The sequence below is a fragment of the Homo sapiens genome, chromosome 2 (assembly GCF_000001405.40).
Source record: "Homo sapiens chromosome 2, GRCh38.p14 Primary Assembly".
Lineage (NCBI taxonomy): Eukaryota > Metazoa > Chordata > Mammalia > Primates > Hominidae > Homo > Homo sapiens.
The window spans coordinates 223,591,502-223,614,018 of record NC_000002.12 but is presented as its reverse complement, the minus strand read 5'-3'; the positions used below and the strand labels follow the sequence as shown (position 1 = coordinate 223,614,018).

Genomic DNA, 22,517 nt, shown 5'->3' with positions numbered 1-22,517 from the left:
AAGACAATAAATAAATAGCTTGAGGCTCCACAGCTAGGAAGAGGAAGAGGCAGGTGCAAACCCAGGCACCTGGTTTGGCACCAGAATGTGCCCATTAACTGACTCTCTGTCTCTTTTAATACGTGGATGATTCTTGACTTTTGGCTAAGATAAAGAGTAATGAAGCCGAGTTTAGAAGAAAGGGATTCACCATTGTAGGAAAAAAACCACAGGATTTTAATCTCCTTGTTGTTGTTAAAAGACCCAAGTCCTACTTCAGCTGGTGGATGCTAGCCAGACAGACGCAGACAGTTTAGAGATGTTAGGGTTTAGGTCCGGAAATAAATACCCCAAAGGGAATCTGAAGGGGCACATTCACTCAGAACCCTCTAACTGGCTTAGTAGCCAAGAGGTCTGGGGGCCTTGGAGATAGTCGTCATGTCGGGGTTTGCGTCTGAGGCCCCCGCCCTGGTTCCTCCGAAACCGGCTGCATCACCAGCATCGTGTAGTTCTCCCATCAGGAAAAGACACAAAAGCATCATGACATTTAAAGCCTTGTTCCTGAGTCTCATTAGGGCAGAGCCCGAGGATGACTGTAATGAACGGCTGCGCCTCTGTGAATGTGTAATGTGCAAACTGCTCCCGCCGTGCCCCTCCATGCGGGGCTGTGCGGAGACACTGATGATTAAAACCGTGAACCTGGCCTTGGGCTGAGGAGGCGGTGGCTCAGGCCTGGAGGAGGCGTTCACTCTCATTCATTTCTGCTGCTGATTCCCCGGAGCGGCTCAGCCCCGGCGGAACATGACTCATCGTATTCCCTGTAGCCGTGTGTGTTTTGACTTAAAATCCTTCCGTCTGACGCCAAGCCCTGCTGAAGTCAAGGGAGCCAGAAGCAGACTCCCAGAAGAAACTCCACCTCCGCCGGCTTGACAGAGAAACAGGCTTCTAGCAGTTACGCAAACACTTGCGTTTCTTTTCTTTTTCAGTCTAATGGAGGAGAGGCTGCAAATGACTCGGTTTGCGATGGCGTCCAGCAATCAATTCTAATCACATCAGTAAAAAGGAAATTATTATGTTTTAAGGTTGGTTACAATGTTAAAATTCAGGCATGGCAAGCCCTGTTTCAGTGAATTCCCAGGGACTGGGAGCTGAATAATAATCAGGGAAGGCAACTGCAGAGTGCCTCAGACCTTCCAACGCGTTTCTACAACTATTATATAATTGAATCCTTGCAGCAACTCTCTGAGGCCTCAGCCTAGGTAATGTTACCCTCATTTGACAAATGAACAAACCGAGGCCCAGGGAGGTTAAGTAATTTGCCTAAGGTCACACAGCAGACCCAAGCCCAGTTTTCTACCTTCTGCTGTACATAACTCCTGCCTATTGAATATGTTCTGAGGCAAGTTTTGCTGTGGAACTAAAGTGTTAAAACACACACACACGCACAACGTTTTTGGTCACTGAATTTTTTTTTTTTTTTTTTGAGACAGGGTCTCACTCTGTTGCCCAGGCTGGAGTTCAGTGGCATAATCACAGTTTACTGCAGCCTCAACTTCCTGGCTCAAATGGTTCTCCCACTTCAGCCTCCCGAGTAGCTGGGACTACAGTTGTGTGCCATCATATCTGGCTAATTTTTAAAAATTTTTTGTAGAAATGGGGTCTCTCTATGTTGCCTGGGCTGGTCTTCAACTCCTAAGCTCAAGTGATCTCCTGCTTCAGCCTCCCAAACTGCTAGGATTATAGGTGTGAGCCACAGTGCCCTGCCTGCTCAATGAATCTTGAGAACCCTTGGAGACAGGAAGAAGAGAGAGGTGAGAATACACAATCAAGAGTTTTGGACTCCAAAATGGGAATTAGGCCTCACCCAAGATTGAACTACAAGATAATACAAAATTTCTCCCCCCCAAAAAAATTAGTCATTTGAAGTATTACTTTGTTATCTCTAAGCATTATTTGTGCTACTATTTACTTAATTTTTTTGAATATTGAACCTCTTGTTAAGCCTAAATCAAAGAAGGTTTATATCACTGCATCAACTTGAAAATTTTATTGCCTATATAAATGGAAAGAAATTCAAACCCTAAGTTCAATACAACCATAAAGATGTTAATGAATTTCTGGTTAGATCCTGCAGCCTGCAGAAAGCTCAGAGTCTAAGGCCAAAAAGGAGGATTTTCAAGCATCAGAAAGGTGTTCACGCTAGCCTCTGATAGTTTCTTTTTTGTGTAACTAGGAGAATTGCACAAGGAATACATTTCAGACAACTATAGAACTTAATGCTACTTAATGCCATATCTATGCCTGGCAAAAACATTCCAATAGTGTTATGGATATGCTTTTCATATGCTGGGAAACATGCATCTGATTGGCCCCTTGGAGTACAGGAGCACCCAGGAGAAAGCAGGACAAGCTTCTCACTGTCAACTGGTCTTATCTCCTTTCTTTGGGTAAGATTATAACTAAAAGTCTGTCAATATTCATGCTATAGCAATATTCCAAACCAGTCATGTTCAATAGTTATATCAGTCAAGCTGGGCTAGGTTATGTGTGATAACAATTTCTCAAAATCAATTGCTTAAACAACTTTATTTCTTTATTTTCTCACTTTACCTGTTCATGAAAGGTCTGGAAGGTAACTCTGCACATTGCAGCCAATCACAGAGCAAGCTATGTGAGCAACCACCACCTCAAAACTTGCCTGCCTCTGTGGTGAGGGAAAGTGCTCTGGGACATGTCATTCGACTCTAAGCTTATTGGCTAGAACTTGTCACATGGTGCCACCCAATCACAAGAGTTCAGGCGGTGCAATTCTATCATAAGCCCAGGAGGAAGGAGAGCCAGAAATATTTGGTAACCATTACTAAGAGCTACAACAAAATCTCAAGGTCATAGATTCACTTGAGAACCTCTTTACAGTCCTGGAGCTTCCTGCAACAAAAAGCACATGATCACATGTACATAAACACTTGCATTTAATCTCATAGGTTTCAACGGACTTCAGGTTAAAAATCTGTGCTCTAATAATGGGGTAACTGCATGCAAGGGGGTACGGGTTAATTAAGGAAAGTTTTACTGAGAAGATACATCAAATAAAACTTTGTTTTTCTTTTCTTTTCTTTCTTTTTTTCTTTTTTTTGGAGAGAGGCTGGAGTGCAGTGGCAGTGGCATGATCATGGCTCACTGCTATCTTGAACTCTTGGGCTCAAGTGATCCTGCTGCCTCAGCCTCTCAGGTGGTGGTACATGGGCTTACAGGCATGCCGCACTACACCCAGCTAATTAAAAAAAAATTTGTAGAGATGGAGGAATGGAGTATTACTATGTTGCCCAGGCTGTTCTTGAACTCCTGGCCTCAAACAATCCTCCCACTTTAGCCTCCCAAAGCATTGGGATCACAGGTATAGGCCACCATACCCAGTCTCAAGTAAAACTTTTTAAAAGAATCAAAATGGTGGGGAAGAGGGGAAGAACATTTTCAAGGCAAGGAGAATGATGCAGATGAAGATGGGCTGAGAAGATTAAGTATATCTTCTGGTTGAGAAGATTATAGGACCAGCAAAAAATCTAGGGAGGGTGGGAATGCAGAAGTATGAGGGAGCATAAAAAAAATCGGTGGAAGACCTTGAACTATGGAAAGTTAATCCAGCTGGCACCAGTTGAGCAGGGGAGGCTCACGATGGAAAAATGTTGAAAGATAATTTGCTATGGTGTTTAAAGGATGGAGCCCCTTGGCTTGTACTTAGGCATTTAATAGATATTGACTGCTTTTTTTTCCCATTGTCGTTCATTTTTTCCCATTGTCATTTCCCATTAGTTATTCAGTCAGCAGTAGTTCCTGAGTGCTAGTTCAAATTAGAAGTAGGTATTATTTCCCTTAAGGTGCCAACACCTAACTTCCTGCAATAGAAAGGCATGTATGAAAGATTAGTGATAGACACTTGAAAGGCTGGGGAGAGATTTTGAATGGCCAAACGTAAGAGAATGCTAACAGGCTATGAAAATGGATAAACCAGAAAGGGGCAACTGGGAAGAATTGGCAAAGGCTGGGGAAATAAAGGGGTGAGGCAGTGGAGAGGGAGAAAGTACAAGAATAAGCCAAGGAGATAATAGTTCCATGACTGAACTGGAGGGACAAGATTAGAATTAGTTAAGAGAGAACTTTGAGAAGGAGGTAAGGGATTGGAAGGAAATGTGGTCAGTTTGGATCTTGATATGCTTATTTTTAGATATTATTATTATTATTATTATTTGTATGTGTGTGTGTGTGTGTGTGTGTGTGTGTGCTGAAACTCAGGCCTGTAGATGTTACTATTTTTAAGCATTGGTTTGGCTGGGTTTTGGGTACAATGGACTTATGTCCCAGACTTCTTTATGTCCTCAAATACATTAAAGTCATTTGGGAAGAGAGTAATCTAAGAATCCCACAAATAAAAATGCTATAATATATTACAACTATACTAAGTACTAACCAAGAGAAATATTTGGTTCCATGAGAGAATATTCTAGAGAGAATTGGCCGAGTCAGGAAACTCAGAGAAATGAGCTTCCTCAGAAGCAAGATGTTGACTGGGCAAAAGCGGGCGGCTTGGAGGGGTTGGGGAGAACTTTCTAGGCAAGGGGACTGGGATGAAGGATATCCACTCTGAGCTAGATGCTGTTTTCAAGTCTTACATTGAATTAGGCCAAAGACTGTGCTTTGGAGCTGAGGTCCAGCACCATGAATTACGAAGAAAATTTAACAGAACTGTTTCATTTAGAAAAAGCAAACTGGCTGGTGAGGCCTGATTCTGGTGACAGAAAATAGGACCAAGACTTGCTCCACATAGCCTTCCAGGGCAGAACTCAGATCCATGGTGAAGCCACAGGGGGTCATATTTCAGCCCAATACAAGGGGGGAAATACCCACAAAACTTGAGAATAAATTTGCCCAAAGATGGAATAGGGAGCATTGGGAGGTAATGAGTTGCTATTTTTTGGAGGTATTTAAGGAAACTTAATATTATATGCTGGAAGTCTGTTTGTTAGGAATTTGACAGAGCAGATGCAAGCAATGAGCCAGGTTAGAGTGGATGACATTTTATATATCTTTCCAATCATAGCAATCTATGAGCTAATTTGTACTCAGATAAACCCATCTGTATTTATGCAAGAATCAATTTGAAACCTCTATAAAGCCAGGAAGAGATGTTCTTTGCAAACATCAGTAGCGTTTCCATATCGGGAGCAAATAATGGGCTGGTGAGCCAGTCTCTAGGAAGGCTGTCGGAAAAGGTCAAGTGTATTTACATTTATATTTGGTTTTATGCTAAATGAACCCTTCTGGGTGGGGTCTGAAAATGTGTGTTGCTAACAGATTGCTGAGTGGTGATGATATTGCTAACCTGGGACCACCCTTTGAGAATCACGACTCCAATACATGCTTTTTTTTTTTTTTTTTTTTTGAGACGGAGTCTCGCTCTGTCGCCCAGGCCGGACTGCGGACTGCAGTGGCGCAATCTCGGCTCACTGCAAGCTCCGCTTCCCGGGTTCACGCCATTCTCCTGCCTCAGCCTCCCGAGTAGCTGGGACTACAGGCGCCCGCCACCGCGCCCGGCTAATTTTTTGTATTTTTAGTAGAGACGGGGTTTCACCTTGTTAGCCAGGACAATACATGCTTTTAATCATGCCCCTGTAGTATACAGGGCCTGTGTCCTTTCTTCAGTGTCAAAGTAGTGAGATGATTTGATTTGTGCGCTAATTCCTGCTAAGGAGGTAATAACTGATTAATGAATTATCCCTTACAATGGAGCTCCTAAGGACCCTGTACCAAAAATTCTAAAAAACCCCAAACCACCTATGATGTAGAATACAGACAGGCTGGCTGGATTTGGGGGAGAAAGTTCTGGGTTAAGGAGGCTTTTCTCAGCTCCCCTCATCATATTATATATGCAAGTGCCCTACCTCCAGAAGTGATATATTCATTTTGCCGATATAGAAAGCACTCCAAAATTCCTACAAAGGCTAAGTGAACTGTGAAAAGTCATCTGGTGAATCCGTGGGAGCCCTGGACACAAAATGCTAAACTTAACCATAAAGATGCTGCACTTTAACCTTGAAGACTTTCTTACATCTCTCTGGGCTTTTGATTAAAAGGAGGGGTGAGAGAGTGTAGGTGGGAAATTTCCAAGCCAAAAAAAAAAATCGTTATTAAAATATTGGCATGTAAATGCTGAAAACATTGATTCACAAAACAATTATACTAGGAGAATCTGAAAGATTGAGACATTCATCATTGTTTTAAGCAAAGTAATTAACTTCCAGTGCACAAACTTCCTTCTCCCGAAATCCATCGAGGGAGCAGATGCCCAAACATTCATGGTATTGGATTAAGAAAATGGTACTTGCTTTTCTTCCAAGTACCAGATGGTTCCAAGAATCCAAAGTCAATGAAGAGAAGAGCCTGTGTTTATTTGGTTTATACAATTCTTATTGAGGGTTTATGAGAAAAATCGTATTTTAATACCTACCAGATAAATAAAAAAAATTTCACAGCAGACTGTCATTTCACGGAGTAAAGAGGTCAAGGGGTAGAAAGAGCCTTAAATGTTGTCTAGTTCACCTAGGGCTGTCAGTAATGTGGTACCTTGATATGCAGAGCAAAAATATTACAAAGAATAAACAAATACTGGAATTAAGAATAGCTCAATTTTCTTTCTATGTGCAATTTCATATTTTTACTCAAATACTTGGAAAATATTTTACAAAATGAAGCAAAAGTTAGAAAAATATAGAATGCTCCTGTAGTGGAGGAAAATATTCCTTAAAAAAACTAAACTGAATTTGCTAGCAGTGCATGCAATGCAAATGAATAAAGTCAGTGCATTTGCATAAGGATGCTACTGTAAGAGGATTAAAAAATTCCAAGAGAAAATGTGTGAAGCTTTGGTAGCAGGAATGAGAAAACTTTAATTCAACTCGATTCACAAACATATTTTTGGCATGAGGGTACAATAATAGAAAGCAGAGTTTCTACCTCCTAGAACCTAGTGGATTTTGTCTGGGAAACTGTGCAGTCACATTATTAAATAAAGTATACCCTGTTTCTGACTTGTGTGTTCTCCAAACAGCAATTTGGCAGGCCCTGCCTTTGCAAGGGAAGGGGAAAAATATTTCACTCTTCTTTGACACTGAGTTAAAAAACAGTCATTTGTTAATAAAGCGCACTACAACTAAGAGAATGGAATTTAAATTTTGGAAGCAAAAGATAAAGGTGGTAAAGAGTAAACAAGGAGCGTAAAGAAAAAAAAGTAAAAAGAAGAGAAGGCAGGCAGGCAGGTGAGGACTGAGCAAGGACAAGTAGCCAAGGCCCTGAGGGGCCGGGGTAGACACTATACCCTCCTTGCTGGCACAGTCAGGTGAACGCTGGAGGACCTCAGCTGAAGCGTGCTGCATCTGGACTCCACCGTGAGAGTCTGATCTTCCATGGGAGGGAAGGGCAGGCAGGGAGGCAGTTAGAGACAGGGAAGAAGCAGACAAGAGAAAAAGGAGAAACAAGACACATTGGCCTTCTGGATCTCAATTGCTTCCATATAAATTGAAACAAAATGAGAAGTGTAATGGAGTGTAAGAGCGAGAAGTTTCAAATGAAAAGATTACTAAGGTAGAGGATTGCTTGTATGAATGATAGAAATCAAAATCTTGTCTAGATAAAATATGAAATTGAATAACAAAGAATAAAATGACCAAGATTTAAGAAAATCCGGTCATAAAAACAAACTCATCTGTTCTAATTACTTAACGTTAAATTGTGAATGATTAACTTGAAATTAACAGCACCCTGGTGAGGATGCAAGCTAATTTTCTAAAAATCCATTTTCATACATAGTACATAATTATTCTGAAAACGTTCACAATATAGAGATTCGTTTCTTGGCGGTGATGATAGTTGGCAATTTAGATCTAACAAGAAAATTAAAATTTTGTAAGGCATGCTTAAATAATTCCTTGAAACAGGTTCAGTGATACAAAGATTTATAGGTTATTTTAATGTTTTATACATGCTCTAAAATATTTTATGTCAACAAACTATTGATATATATATATGTGTGTGTACATATACGTGTGTGTATATATATATATATATATATATCATTTTAAATTCTTCTCCAAATACATTTCTATTTGAGAAATAGCTCCCTTTAGAACAAATAACTACTGGCAAAAAATTAGTGACTTTTGGAAATATGTTAAATATAACACATTGAAAAATCTATAAAAACAAAAAAAATTGATGTTGGCAATGTTATGGAGAAAAAGGAATGCTTATACACTGTTGGTGGGAGTGTAAATTAGTTCAGCCATTGTGGAAGACAGTGTGGTGATTCCTCAAAGATGTAAACTACCATTCAACCCAGCAATTCCATTATTGGTTATATACCCAAAGGAATACAAATTGTTCTATTATAAAGACACATGCATGTGTATGTTCATTGCAGCACTATTCACAATAGCAAAGATGTGGAATCAACCTAAATGCCCATCAATTACAGACTGGATAAAGAAAATGTGGCACATATACATCATAGAATACTATGCAGCCAAAAAAAGAATGAGATCATGTCCTTTGCAGGGACATGGATAGAGGCGGAGGCCATTATCTTTAAAAAACTAATGCAGGAAGAGAAAACAAAATACCATATGTTCTCACTTGTAAGTGGGAGCTAAATGATGAGAATACATGAACACAAAGAGGGGAACGACACAGCCTATCAGAGTGTGGATGGTGGGAGGAGGGAGAGGATCAGGAAAAATAACTAATGGGTAGTAGGCTTAATACCTGGGTGATGAAATAATCTGTACAACAAACTTCCATGACAGAAGTTTACCTATGTAACAAACCTGCACATGTACCCCTGAACTTGAAAGTTAAAAAATATGTTTGGGGAGTTTGATTTTGAAAAAACAGGCTGGTGAATAGAATTTTCCTAATTCAGCAACTGTTCTCTTATTTGGAAGATGTATGCCCCATAGCATCAAGGCTGTGATCTAATGTTTATTCTTGCTTTCCATTGGTGCTGCCCCAAATAGAAGTCCCGGCCTATGCCTTTGCTTTTCTTAGACCAGGAAAAGCAACTGGACAACTGGGGGTTTTTGTCAAAGAAACTAAATTCTGGACTTGGGTCTTTAATGATTAAATCCATCCCATATTTATTTCTGTATTTCCATCTCTAGCAGTGTCTGAATCATAGTTTTTATTGTAGAAATATCATAGAATGGACTTAAATACAAATTCTAGCTCTACCAATTATAAGTCAAAATAGTGGGCAACTTACTTATTTCTGAGCTTTAGTTTCTTCATCTGTAAAATGGAGATAAAAATACCTACTTGTTATAGTTGTCCGGAGGATTAAATTAGGTTCCAAGTACAGTGCTTGGATCATAACAGAACTCAGTAAGTGAGAGGTATTTATCATAGTCTCATAAGATAGGCAGAAATTCAATAGCCCACAATGGCTTATTGTTCTACCCACATCTTGAGCCTAGTGGAGCCAATCCATCCCAGCAACAGCCTCCTGGCATCTCACATCTACTTGGAGATTTTGAATGAGGTTTTGCATGTCTTTTGGATGATTGAAGATATTTCCAGGCAAGATGTTGACTCTGGGGCTTTAGAAGAACCGTAGCTTCTGGTTCTTGCCAAAAAGTTTAGTTCCACATAAATGAATTAGCCTAGTCAGGATGACTTTCTGGAGGGCTTTTGAGACCTATGCTGAACAAACTCAACATTTTAAGAATAATTGCAGAGTTTTCTAAAGCTGCGTTGATACTGGTTAGTTGAACTGGTCACACAGAACTGCTGGACAGAAAATTAGGTCAAACTTGGAGCAGCTAGCCAGGGCTTTGTTAAGATTTAAGGCAATCTTAGCTAAGGATGTCAGTGAATGAGCTGGTGTCATTGAGATGATGCTTGAGAAATGGGTCATATTTAGGTCTCTTCAACCCAGCATTTGATCATGCCCTAAAAAACCACTATGAGGCAAAATTTGTTGGATGAATTGGACATATAACCCCAGTCTGAGTGTATATGAATTCATATCAATCCACAAATGATGATCTCCTAGTCGTTTAGGAAAACCAAATAGGGAGAATCGAGGCACATTTTTCCAAGATTTTTTCTGTAAGACTTTAAGCCATTTCCTATTTTTTCGAGGAATTCAAAAGTACTAACATAGTTAGAAATCCTTGTAAGAAAACCTGATAGTGAGAAATCTCAGCTTAGGCCTTTTATTCCAGGACATTGTTTCCCCCTGAATTTCTAGGTTGAACCCATTGGCTATCCAAATGGTCCAAACACTGCTAGCTAACCTCTCTATTGATGCTTTCCAATTTATATGAAAATTATGTGTTTATTTGCATGTCATCCCCATTAGCTGAAAGGCTCATCAAAGGCAAAAAAATCACTTATTTTTGTATTAGTTAACAATTGTGCATTTAGCAATGTATCTGGCACCTAGTAGGTATTACAATTTATTGAGTCAGTGGCTGATTGTTCATTTAGCAGAAACACATGGGATCTCTTATATGGCAAGATTCTGTTGCATTCTTAAAGTATATGTCAACATATACAGTTTTTAGAAACTCATATCTTTAATAAAATAAAGTTTAAAATTTATATCCATATAAATTATTGAAATATATAATCAGGTTATCTGGTAAGGCAGAGGAATGATTATGAATTATAAATCTGAGAGGTTGAAAGTTAATTGCTGTATTATTCCCTGGATTGTTCACATTCATGGAAGGTATTCAACTCATCTGATTCAACAGGAGAAGGGAAATATTTATAGTACAACTTCCTTTCGATTGCAAATGAATTCTAGTTACGTATGTGTCACATTTTTCCCAAACAGTGAAAAGACTTTTTTTTTAAGTAGATGAAAGTATTTTCATCAGCACTCAACTTCTGAGCTTCCCTTTCTGAGATCAGATATTGTGAAAGACAGTAACAGAGATATAAAGAATTATTAGCTACTAAGCTTGAAGTCTGATAAATACCCATTTAAAAAACTATATAAGCTATTAAAGTTGGCTCTCATATAAAAGAGAGAGAACTCTCTGTTTTATTCAAATAAATATGATTTTAAAAGAATGATGGCTGTGGTCATGATAAGAAATATGGCCTTTCATATTTATAATGTGTCCTCCATTCATCTTGGTTATAACAGGAAATGGTAATGTAATTTCTTTGTGGGCAAAGATGAAAAAATAATCCTTGTCTGTAAAACTTTCTTACAACGACGACAACAATTACAACAGTGACACCAAGAAACTATTATAACAAGTTGCTAGAACATAGATGAGATTGTCTTGCAATTAGCCATGTCTGTCTGACACACATTTCTTTCTTTGTAAGAGAAATCGTGCAGAGCAGTTTATTCCGTCTCAAAGATTTTGATAAAAGAAAAAGGAAAACTGCAATTTTTGCCACAAAAAGACAGGTGGCGTAAGCATGCAACTTTTTTTTCTTTTCTTTTCTTTCTTTCTTTTTTTTTTTTTTTAAATATAAAGTGATTATTTTCTCTTGGTTCTTTGAAAAACCTCGCTTGTGCTGGGGTTTGTGGCTGAACCCGGTGACGTCAGTGTGGCAGTGCGGAGTCAGGCGCAGCGGCTCCCTATAAGCAGAGGAGCTGTCCGTGTGCTGAAACGGCCCGAGAAGCTCGCCCGGAGAACGGGGAGGAATATGCTGTGGAGCTCCTCTGCCATATAAACAAAAAGAGGTAAGGCTGCTTTTCTCTTTGATTTATTGGAAAGTTCCAAATTGCATGCTCTTCTTTTAATTCCTAGCTGAGAAGAAAAAGACTGTTTGGCAAGCTTATGTCGATAGGATAACTGAATAGCAACCTGCTGCTCATCAGCCAATGTAAGGACACTACATATGTGTATATACATGATCGGGTCTATGCTTTATACTACTTGATGTTGGATATTTACTAACCAGAATGTTACTTAGATAATCATATAAAAAAGAGTGAAAAAGTTAAGGATTTTAGTGTCAATACACAGATTAATGTAAAGTTAACCAAGCCCAATATCTTGTTTCTTTCCAAAATTTATTATTTCTGCCACTAAGAGCCAGATACGAAGCCAGGGGTATAATTTATATGTTTAATATTCTTAACAGTAGGTTTCCAATGATACAAAGGCTGTCAAGCATGTTAGTCATAAAGGCAACCCATTTTGGAACTAGGTTTTTTTTCTTTGATATTTATCTTACAAGAGCTCTGAATTAACTAACCACATAAAATTCTTTTCTGAACTTGTATATTTGAAAGAGCTTACATTATTATCTCCTAATTTTAGTTCTAAGATGTTAACTTAGGATTTTCCTGAACACTGGATTCTTCCTTTTTCCAGGGCAAAATATTATCTTGGGTTGTAATTTGGCTGTGACCATGAATTACAGAGAAATGATCATTTTGAATACATGATGAAAATACTCATAACTTTGTAAATTGTTATTGTTATTGCTATAATTTGATTTAAAGAGGATGTTCAATATGTTGCTAAAGATTTTGTCTGGGACAAGTATTTCATTTTTTCTGTATCCCAACTAGTTGAATTGCTTAAATTACATATAGTCACCTGCATGTGTCAATGCTCTAGCCTGAATTCAACAGAAAAGACATTTTAACTTGAGAGATTTTAATGATAGCTATCAGGGGAAAAATAATGTTCTAATTATTTGGATTTCAGAAAATTCAATTTTAAATCAAACCCCATATAGAATAGTAGAGCTGTTGAAACATCTTTACTACTTGAAAGAGCTGCTACCTGGGAAAAGAATCCTTTGGGTCTCACTCAAAGGCAATAACTATGTCATTCAAACTGAAGCTGAATAGTTAAGCAAAGGGTAGCACTTCTTAGGCTGTGGTTTAAACAACTGCAATGAGTAGTCTGCTTCAACTTTACAGCAAAGTGCAGTTCCAAGATAATGATTTTAAAGATGAGCATATAATCCACATGTTAAGACTATTTCAGTATTGTGGCTTCAAAAAAAATAAGTTCAGTAAGGTTTTTAAGATTATTATTTCAAATGCCAATGTTGAAAGTTGATTACCAAAGCTACATTAATCCTGAAATAATATAAACAAGAGTGCATAATGTATTTTTATTTGAACCTCATTATTTTATGAATAAAATTACTTATAGTAAACATGTATTTATAATAAATATTTTGGAAGTATCCTCTCAAATGCCTTTCAAGATGTTTCTTTCAATAAATTAAGTACTCTGGTAAACGTGAATCATTTAAATAGGTATATACGTATGCTAAAATGTTTTCATAACTAAGCCATTATTGGGCTCTAAAAAACTGGAAACAAAATCATCAATATGATCTTGTGAACAATGGTATTTTCTACAATTGATGTCTAAGCTAACAGAAAATTGTATACATATAACTTAGCTTATCTATCACAAAACCATGATCTGGTAAAGATATGAACAAACTTGTAAACTCCTCTTACATTCATTTTGTTTACAACAAAATAGCCAATATTAAAATAGTTTTTTCAATGTTAGCAATATTAAATGTAAAACACATAAAAACTAATCCTCTTCCTAATTCCTATGTAAGATTTTAAGGCATCGGAGGAAATAATGAATGGAGATTTTTAAGTAGGAAGAATTCAGCACATCATCTGTGTTTATTTGAATTGGGATTTACATAGTGGTTATTTTAAGATTTTTCTAAACAGTATGAGTGATTTAAGATTTCACAGGTCCATACCAAAATAGACACAGACAGAAGACAAACTGAATCTGAACACTCACAAGTTCAGAAATAGACTAGCTAAAAAAACTTATGTTCTCTCTGTAGCATCTGTTATTATTTACTATACACTCTGAAGGGCTGATGAAAAGTATAACCACAATTGCATTTTGCAAGACAGTCATAATATAAATTATTAGAAGAAATATGAAGCAAAGAGATTTTAAAACACTTTATTGGTTTAGCACGTTCACACAAAAAGAAACTTCATTGGTTTAGTCTACTGGCTGGAATCTGAGAAGACCCGTGTTCTGGAGGTTATTTATGGATCATTGGATTCGGTATCAGATTGAGAACAAGTTATTTCTGAAAAATATATCTGGATAGGACTCCCCAGAAGGTAATTCGGTATGATTGACATATAAAAGTATTACTTTGTCATATATGGTCATGTAACTGCAGCTGTGTTTCAGCAACAAAATTAGATGGACATTTCAGGAAATAAACCACATGTTTTTTGACACAACTTTAAGGACATAATTTGTGGGCGCGTATGTGTAAATGCATGTTTTAAATTAAGCCAACACATTATTTTGCCAATAGACTTCAATATATAAAATAATTAAAACATCTTGGGAAGTATTTGCTGCTTTATTATAGAGAAACAACATGTACTAAACATCAAACTACAAGTTCTGTAAATGAAAAAATAAAATTTAAGAAATCTCATATCAGTGTTTTTGCTGTTGTTTTAACTAAGAGAATGCTATGCAAGTTTTTGGTGAATGAGTAATAATTTTGCTAAAGATTCCTGTGGTTTGCTTGTGGGAATCATGTGGAAAATATTCATGAATTTTTAAAAAGAGTTATCCTAAGCTTAATGTGAAATAATATCTACTATGTTTTTTCCTCACCTCAATGATCAATTATTTCTTTTGCTATAGTGTCTTCTAGTTTGTTTCATTTGTGTAACTCATATTTTTTATGTTTTAAGGAAATCTTTCAAACATGGCTGAAGCAAAGACCCACTGGCTTGGAGCAGCCCTGTCTCTTATCCCTTTAATTTTCCTCATCTCTGGGGCTGAAGCAGCTTCATTTCAGAGAAACCAGCTGCTTCAGAAAGAACCAGACCTCAGGTTGGAAAATGTCCAAAAGTTTCCCAGTCCTGAAATGATCAGGGCTTTGGAGTACATAGAAAACCTCCGACAACAAGCTCATAAGGAAGAAAGCAGCCCAGATTATAATCCCTACCAAGGTGTCTCTGTCCCCCTTCAGCAAAAAGAAAATGGCGATGAAAGCCACTTGCCCGAGAGGGATTCACTGAGTGAAGAAGACTGGATGAGAATAATACTCGAAGCTTTGAGACAGGCTGAAAATGAGCCTCAGTCTGCACCAAAAGAAAATAAGCCCTATGCCTTGAATTCAGAAAAGAACTTTCCAATGGACATGAGTGATGATTATGAGACACAGCAGTGGCCAGAAAGAAAGCTTAAGCACATGCAATTCCCTCCTATGTATGAAGAGAATTCCAGGGATAACCCCTTTAAACGCACAAATGAAATAGTGGAGGAACAATATACTCCTCAAAGCCTTGCTACATTGGAATCTGTCTTCCAAGAGCTGGGGAAACTGACAGGACCAAACAACCAGAAACGTGAGAGGATGGATGAGGAGCAAAAACTTTATACGGATGATGAAGATGATATCTACAAGGCTAATAACATTGCCTATGAAGATGTGGTCGGGGGAGAAGACTGGAACCCAGTAGAGGAGAAAATAGAGAGTCAAACCCAGGAAGAGGTGAGAGACAGCAAAGAGAATATAGAAAAAAATGAACAAATCAACGATGAGATGAAACGCTCAGGGCAGCTTGGCATCCAGGAAGAAGATCTTCGGAAAGAGAGTAAAGACCAACTCTCAGATGATGTCTCCAAAGTAATTGCCTATTTGAAAAGGTTAGTAAATGCTGCAGGAAGTGGGAGGTTACAGAATGGGCAAAATGGGGAAAGGGCCACCAGGCTTTTTGAGAAACCTCTTGATTCTCAGTCTATTTATCAGCTGATTGAAATCTCAAGGAATTTACAGATACCCCCAGAAGACTTAATTGAGATGCTCAAAACTGGGGAGAAGCCGAATGGATCAGTGGAACCGGAGCGGGAGCTTGACCTTCCTGTTGACCTAGATGACATCTCAGAGGCTGACTTAGACCATCCAGACCTGTTCCAAAATAGGATGCTCTCCAAGAGTGGCTACCCTAAAACACCTGGTCGTGCTGGGACTGAGGCCCTACCAGACGGGCTCAGTGTTGAGGATATTTTAAATCTTTTAGGGATGGAGAGTGCAGCAAATCAGAAAACGTCGTATTTTCCCAATCCATATAACCAGGAGAAAGTTCTGCCAAGGCTCCCTTATGGTGCTGGAAGATCTAGATCGAACCAGCTTCCCAAAGCTGCCTGGATTCCACATGTTGAAAACAGACAGATGGCATATGAAAACCTGAACGACAAGGATCAAGAATTAGGTGAGTACTTGGCCAGGATGCTAGTTAAATACCCTGAGATCATTAATTCAAACCAAGTGAAGCGAGTTCCTGGTCAAGGCTCATCTGAAGATGACCTGCAGGAAGAGGAACAAATTGAGCAGGCCATCAAAGAGCATTTGAATCAAGGCAGCTCTCAGGAGACTGACAAGCTGGCCCCGGTGAGCAAAAGGTTCCCTGTGGGGCCCCCGAAGAATGATGATACCCCAAATAGGCAGTACTGGGATGAAGATCTGTTAATGAAAGTGCTGGAATACCTCAACCAAGAAAAGGCAGAAAAGGGAAGGGAGCATATTGCTAAGAGAGCAATGGAAAATATGTAAGCTGCTTTCATTAATTACCCTACTTTCATTCCTCCCACCCCAAGCAAATCCCAACATTTCTCTTCAGTGTGTTGACTTCTATCCTGTTAACACTGTAATATCTTTAAATGATGTACAGGCAGATGAAACCAGGTCACTGGGGAGTCTGCTTCATTTCCTCTGAGCTGTTATCTTGTGTATGGATATGTGTAAATGTTATGACTCCTTGATAAAAAATTTATTATGTCCATTATTCAAGAAAGATATCTATGACTGTGTTTAATAGTATATCTAATGGCTGTGGCATTGTTGATGCTCACATATGATAAAAAAGTGTCCTATAATTCTATTGAAAGTTTTTAATATTTATTGAATTATTTTGTTACTGTCTGTAGTGTTTTGTGGAGTACTGGACCAAAAAAATAAAGCATTATAAATATATAGTTTTATTTATAAGGCCTTTTCTATTGTGTGTTTTACTGTTGATTAATAAATGTTATTTCTGGACAACTTTGGACTCTTAATTATGGAAAACCAGAGACAATGTCTACGAAGCAAGCAGTATGAAGCCAAAAGAGAAAATCATCTTCACCAGACAATTCAGGTAAGAAGTAATGAATTTTATACATGTGTTCATGGTACCTGCTTGCAGAATGCTGCATCCTTATGCTTGCCCATGGTTTTCCTTATGCTTGCCCATGGTTTTCCTCAAATATATAATCGATAGAGTCTTTGTTTTAGGTATTTTTTACTCTTGATTTATATAAGTAAAAGAAATTTAAGTCTCCAATACCCATAGGCAGCCATCAAAACAAAAACAGAAAGAAAAAGAAAAGGCTGCATAGATGGCAATCAAAAATGACTACAGACTTGAAAGGAACTTGTCTATTCCCAGGTCATGTTGGTCCCCAAAAGACAAGGCTGTTGCCTCCCTTATGTGACTTGAGAGGGGCCAAAGGACCCCCAAACTGACCATTAGGTAAGTGAAGAAGCACAGTAGCAGTGGGAACAACCAGCCCCATCTTCTGCCCTAGTGGGCAAAGAAGTGCATGGTTATTACAGCGCACATCACTTTAGTGCAATGTCAGCCACCTAACACATCAACAGAGAATCAACACAACATCAGCAAGAAAATGCACAGAGCAACAAAACAATAATGGTCATAAACAAGGAAATAAACAATAGCTTTTATTTTTTGAATGCTTATTGTGCTACAGGCTCTATACTAAACACTGTACAAACTTTGCCTTGCTTAGTCTATAATTTGTAATTATAAACTATAATTTGTTTACTCTATAACTTCCCCCTCCCTTTTACAATAGGAAAAATAAAACTTAGCAAGATTAAATAATTTCCCCAAAGTCACTTAGCATTATGAGTTGTCAAATCTGTGTTCTCAACCACTTCACTACACTGCCACTCTGGGAAGTGCCCTTTCAACCGAGGAATGGACATCAGGGTTGAATCGTGAGAAGCTCCCAAGGTTTTAGTATGGGTCACTTCCAAAAAAGGACATGTGTGTGTATGTGTGTATGTGCATCATGTGCGTGTGTGTGCGTGTGTCTGGGGGACCATCCCTGAACTATCAAAAGGCTAAACTGTCATAAGGCAGTCCCAGAGCCTGGATGCTTTGGGGGAAAACATTGAATGTAGGTTTTGTAATTTATAATTTTGCCCAGATTCTTTTCTGTCCATTGATCATGCAATTTTGTGGTATTCTAGAATCTGCAAGTCAGCGGGAACTTAGAAGCAATTATCTCTACGGTGTTTCTAATATGTAGACTTTACTCTCAAATACTCTTGAGATAGGGGGTTTCTCCCTCACAATTTAGTATTATAAATTGGACACTACGGAGTGGCTGCTCTGCAGAAGGAGCTTTCTCACAGGTTATTACAATTCACTTTCTACATAGCCTTCTGAGATTGATATTATTTGTAGCTTTGGAAGCTCAGACAGGTAAAATAAGTTGCTTCATTTGTACAGCAGGTTAGTGGTGAAGTGGACTTTAACCCACAACTAACCATAACTCTCAGGCATGCACCCTTCCATGTGGGTCTGATGCTTTATCATACATGGAGTTATGTATGGGGGGAGGCCGGGGAACAAAGTGGGGCTCCTTCCAGTGGAGAGATCTAGGATACTTATGTTGCTTAAAGTTTAGAGAACATATTTATATGCCATGCTTTGCAGGCATCCACACACACCTTCCACCCATTGTATACTCTGTCCAGTCTTCTATGTCATGCTATATAACTCGTTCCTCAGATCCTAACTCAGCTGTGTGAATATTCCCATGGTAGCACTAAGCAGAAATAAGAACTTGACATACGCATCTCTACCGAAAAGAAATTTGCCTTCACTGTGATGTTTAAACAGTTTACTGAGAGGTCAGGCAAGGAAGGCAGTAAAACTGACACGACACAGCAGATGAGGCTCCTATCTGGGATTTATACACAAACCAGGAGTATGCCAAAGCCTGCACTTTTGGCTACACCATGCTGCTTTGTTCTTAAAACCTCAGTTAGGTCTGAAATTCCAGGATTCTCTAATGGAGACATTTCAGGCATCAGGATTGGCAGTTGAGAAGATGTATTAATTTGAGATACATATTCTTCCCCGACCTCCATTAGGCATCAATCAGCAAGCACCTTTGCCTTTTTGCAGTACTACCGTATCTTCAACTATTGACTCATCAGGCTTACTTACTTCTGATCCAAAATTTTTTTTTCATAAGTACTTTAGTATGTAATTCCCTAGCGTAAGAAATTAAGCTCTAAGTATAATTCAAAGATGTAGATGACAAATTAGTTGCAATTAGGGCAACACTGTCCCTGTCCCTGCCCAGAACCCTCCTTCATTAGAAGTCAGGAGTAGCTCAGACCTCCAAGCAGACACCCACTGCAGGCTACTTGTGGGAAGAGAAGGAAACTGCATGTTCATTAAAACAGGCCCCCTTGCAGGAGTCCTTGTTTCCATCAGTAGGAATCAGATAGGAGCCTGGTACTTTATGTTCTTGGCAAGCCCCCACCTACTGACCCTTCCTTCCCCTTTTCACTCACAGCGTGTCCTCCCATCCGCTTGGGGACAATTAGGACTAATCTGATTGTATCCTTTATAACAAGACCTTTTTTTTTTTTTTTTTTTTTGAGATGGAGTTTTGCTGAGTTTTTTTGAGATGGAGTTTTGTTGCCAGGCTGGAGTGCAGTGGTGCAATCTTGGCTCACTGCAACCTCCACCTCCTGGGTTCAAGCGATTCTCCTGCCTCAGCCTCCCAAGTAACTAGGACTACAGGAGCATGTCACCACGCCCAGCTAATTTTTGTATTTTTACTAGAGACAGGGTTTCACCATGTTGGCCAGGATAGTCTCAATCTCCTGGCCTCGTGATCCGCCTGCCTCGGCCTCCCAAAGTGCTGGGATTACAGGCGTGAGTCACCGCGCCTGGCCTTAAATCAAGACTTTTTGTTTTGTTTTGTTTTGTTTTTTTTGAGATGAAGTCTTGCTCTGTCGCCCAGGCTGGAGTGCAGTGGTGCGACCTCGGCTCACTGCAAGCTCCGCCTCCCGGATTCACGCCATTCTCCTGTCAGAGTAGCTGGGACTACAGGCGCCCGTCACCACGCCCGGCTAATTTTATTTTTATTTTTTATTTTTAGTAGAGACGGGGTTTCACCTTGTTAGCTAGGTCTCCCAAAGTGCTGGGATTACAGGTGTGAGCCACCTCACCTGGCCTTATACCAAGACTTTTAATTTACCCTCTTCTCTCACACTCAAACCTCCCTAAACTTTCTATATCACGTTTATGGACTGTGATGGTTAATACTGAGTGTCAACTTGATTGGATTGAAGGATGCAAAGTATTGATCCTGGGTGTGTCTGTGAGGGTGTTGCCAAAGGAGATTAACATTTGAGTCATTTTAACTGGGAAAGGCAGACCCACCCTTAATCTAGGTAGGCATAATCTAATCAGCTGCCAGTGCAGCTAGAATATAAAGCAGGCAGAAAAACGTGAAAACTAGACTGGCCTACCTTCCCAGCCTACATATTTCTCCCATGCTGGATGCTTCCTGCCCTTGAACATCAGACTCCAAGTTCTTCAGTTTTGGGACTTGGACTGGCTCTCCTTGTGCCTTAGCCTGCAGATGGCCTATTGTGATTGTGTGAGTTAATACTTCATAAATTCATATATGTATATATATATCCTATCAGTTCTGTCCCTCTAGAGAACTACCTGGACACAAACTTCTCCTTCTTCCCTTATGCTATAACCTTTCTCAACATGCCCTTTGATACTCAAGGTTAGTCATAAGCATGACACCCTGCATCCTCAACCTCTTCTTTGAATACTCTCTTCACCTTTTTGCTCTAAGGGAAACCTACCTCTCCTCTAAGGTTGCTGCTTTCCCTGCATCCCCCTTTCTTGCTCCTTTCTTCTGCTTAAAGTACAGTTTCTTTCTCTCTTCCATAAAAATATCCAATGCTTTTTGTCCTTGCAATAGTTTGCTGAGAATGATGGTTTCCAGCTTCATCCATGTCCCTACAAAGGACATGAACTCATCCTTTTTTATGGCTGCATAGTATTCCATGGTGTATATATGCCACATTTTCTTAATCCAGTCTATCATTGTTGGACATTTGGCTTGGTTCCAAGTCTTTGCTATTATGAATAGTGCCGCAATAAACCTACATGTGCATGTGTCTTTATAGCAGCATGATTTATAATCCTTTGGGTATATACCCAGTAATGGGATGGCTGGGTCAAATGGTATTTCTAGTTCTAGATCCCTGAGGAGTCGCCACACTGACTTCCACAATGTTTGAACTAGTTGACAGTCCCACCAACAGTGTAAAAGTGTTCCTATTTCTTCACATCCTCTCCAGCATCTGTTGTTTACTGACTTTTTAATGATTGCCATTCTAGACAAAAAACCAAACACCGCATGTTCTCACTCATAGGTGGGAATTGAACAATGAGAACACATGGACACAGGAAGGGGAACATCACACACTGGGGCCTGTTGTGGGGTGGGGGGAGGGGGGAGGGATAGCATTAGGAGATACACCTAATGTTAAATGACGAGTTAATGGGTGCAGCACACGAACATGGCACATGTATACATATGTAACTAACCTGCACGTTGTGCACATGTACCCTAAAACTTAAAGTATAATAAAAAATAAAATAAAAGAGAAAAAAACAGTATCCAATGCTGAATCTCTTGCCATCAACCATTACTACTGGCGGATGCAGTCATCTGCTGTCCCGGGTCACTTCACCTCATTCCTGAAGGTAGCAATGCCTGCTCACTGTGGCTTTTTCTAGCACTGCTTCTGTCTTAACGTTTGTTGATTTCAATATGCATAAGATGATTTTTCCAGCCCAGCCTCCATTTTTCTAGCCCAGCCTCCATTTTTCTATCAGGCCTTCACTTACATGGTTATGCCCCTGATCGTTTCCTTACCAATAACTATCCTAAATGTCAATTCCAAACATTTCACTCTATCAATCGCCTTCTTTATTGTCAGTGTGCTTCCTCTGGTACTTCAGTTTTAATAATCCCTCCACCCCCAAAATTGAATCCAGGCATCCTGCCATATTTCCACTCTCTGTCATCTCTTTTATTCTTCATCACCCACTTTGTCAAGCATAAATTTCATGGTGAGTCATTATAATCACTACCTTGTAAACATTTTAACTCTCTTCTGTCTCTCATGTTCCATTGCATTCTCTTTACTAAACAACTACTCTAGTTATGTCCAATTCTCCACCCCATCTTACCTTCTCTCCTACAACTGAGCATAGCAGAAGCAAGACATAACAACACTGACTGATTTCACTTTAAATTCTTGCTCACTGCCCTCAAGTGGACCATAATGCTGACCCATAATCCTCATACACCCCTCATCTATTCAGTCTCTCACTCTTTAGGCAATAATATCACACTTTTCCT

General features: G+C 39.1%; 1 protein-coding gene across 1 annotated transcript, besides 1 other annotated feature; it reads left to right on the top strand.

Annotated features, from left to right (window-relative positions):
- Window positions 674-968: an enhancer, noted in NCBI's record as "tiled region #12775; HepG2 Activating non-DNase unmatched - State 4:PromP, and K562 Activating DNase matched - State 8:EnhW". NCBI's record gives its function as "activates a minimal TATA promoter and a strong SV40 promoter by Sharpr-MPRA in HepG2 and K562 cells {active_cell/tissue: HepG2 | K562}" and the evidence as "EXISTENCE:reporter gene assay evidence [ECO:0000049][PMID:27701403]".
- SCG2 (secretogranin II) lies at window positions 11,658-17,079 on the top strand. The gene is made up of 2 exons (NM_003469.5): window positions 11,658-11,734; window positions 14,723-17,079. Exon 2 carries the CDS (start codon window positions 14,737-14,739, stop codon window positions 16,588-16,590), a length of 1,854 nt encoding a protein of 617 aa, NP_003460.2. The 5' UTR covers window positions 11,658-11,734; window positions 14,723-14,736; the 3' UTR covers window positions 16,591-17,079.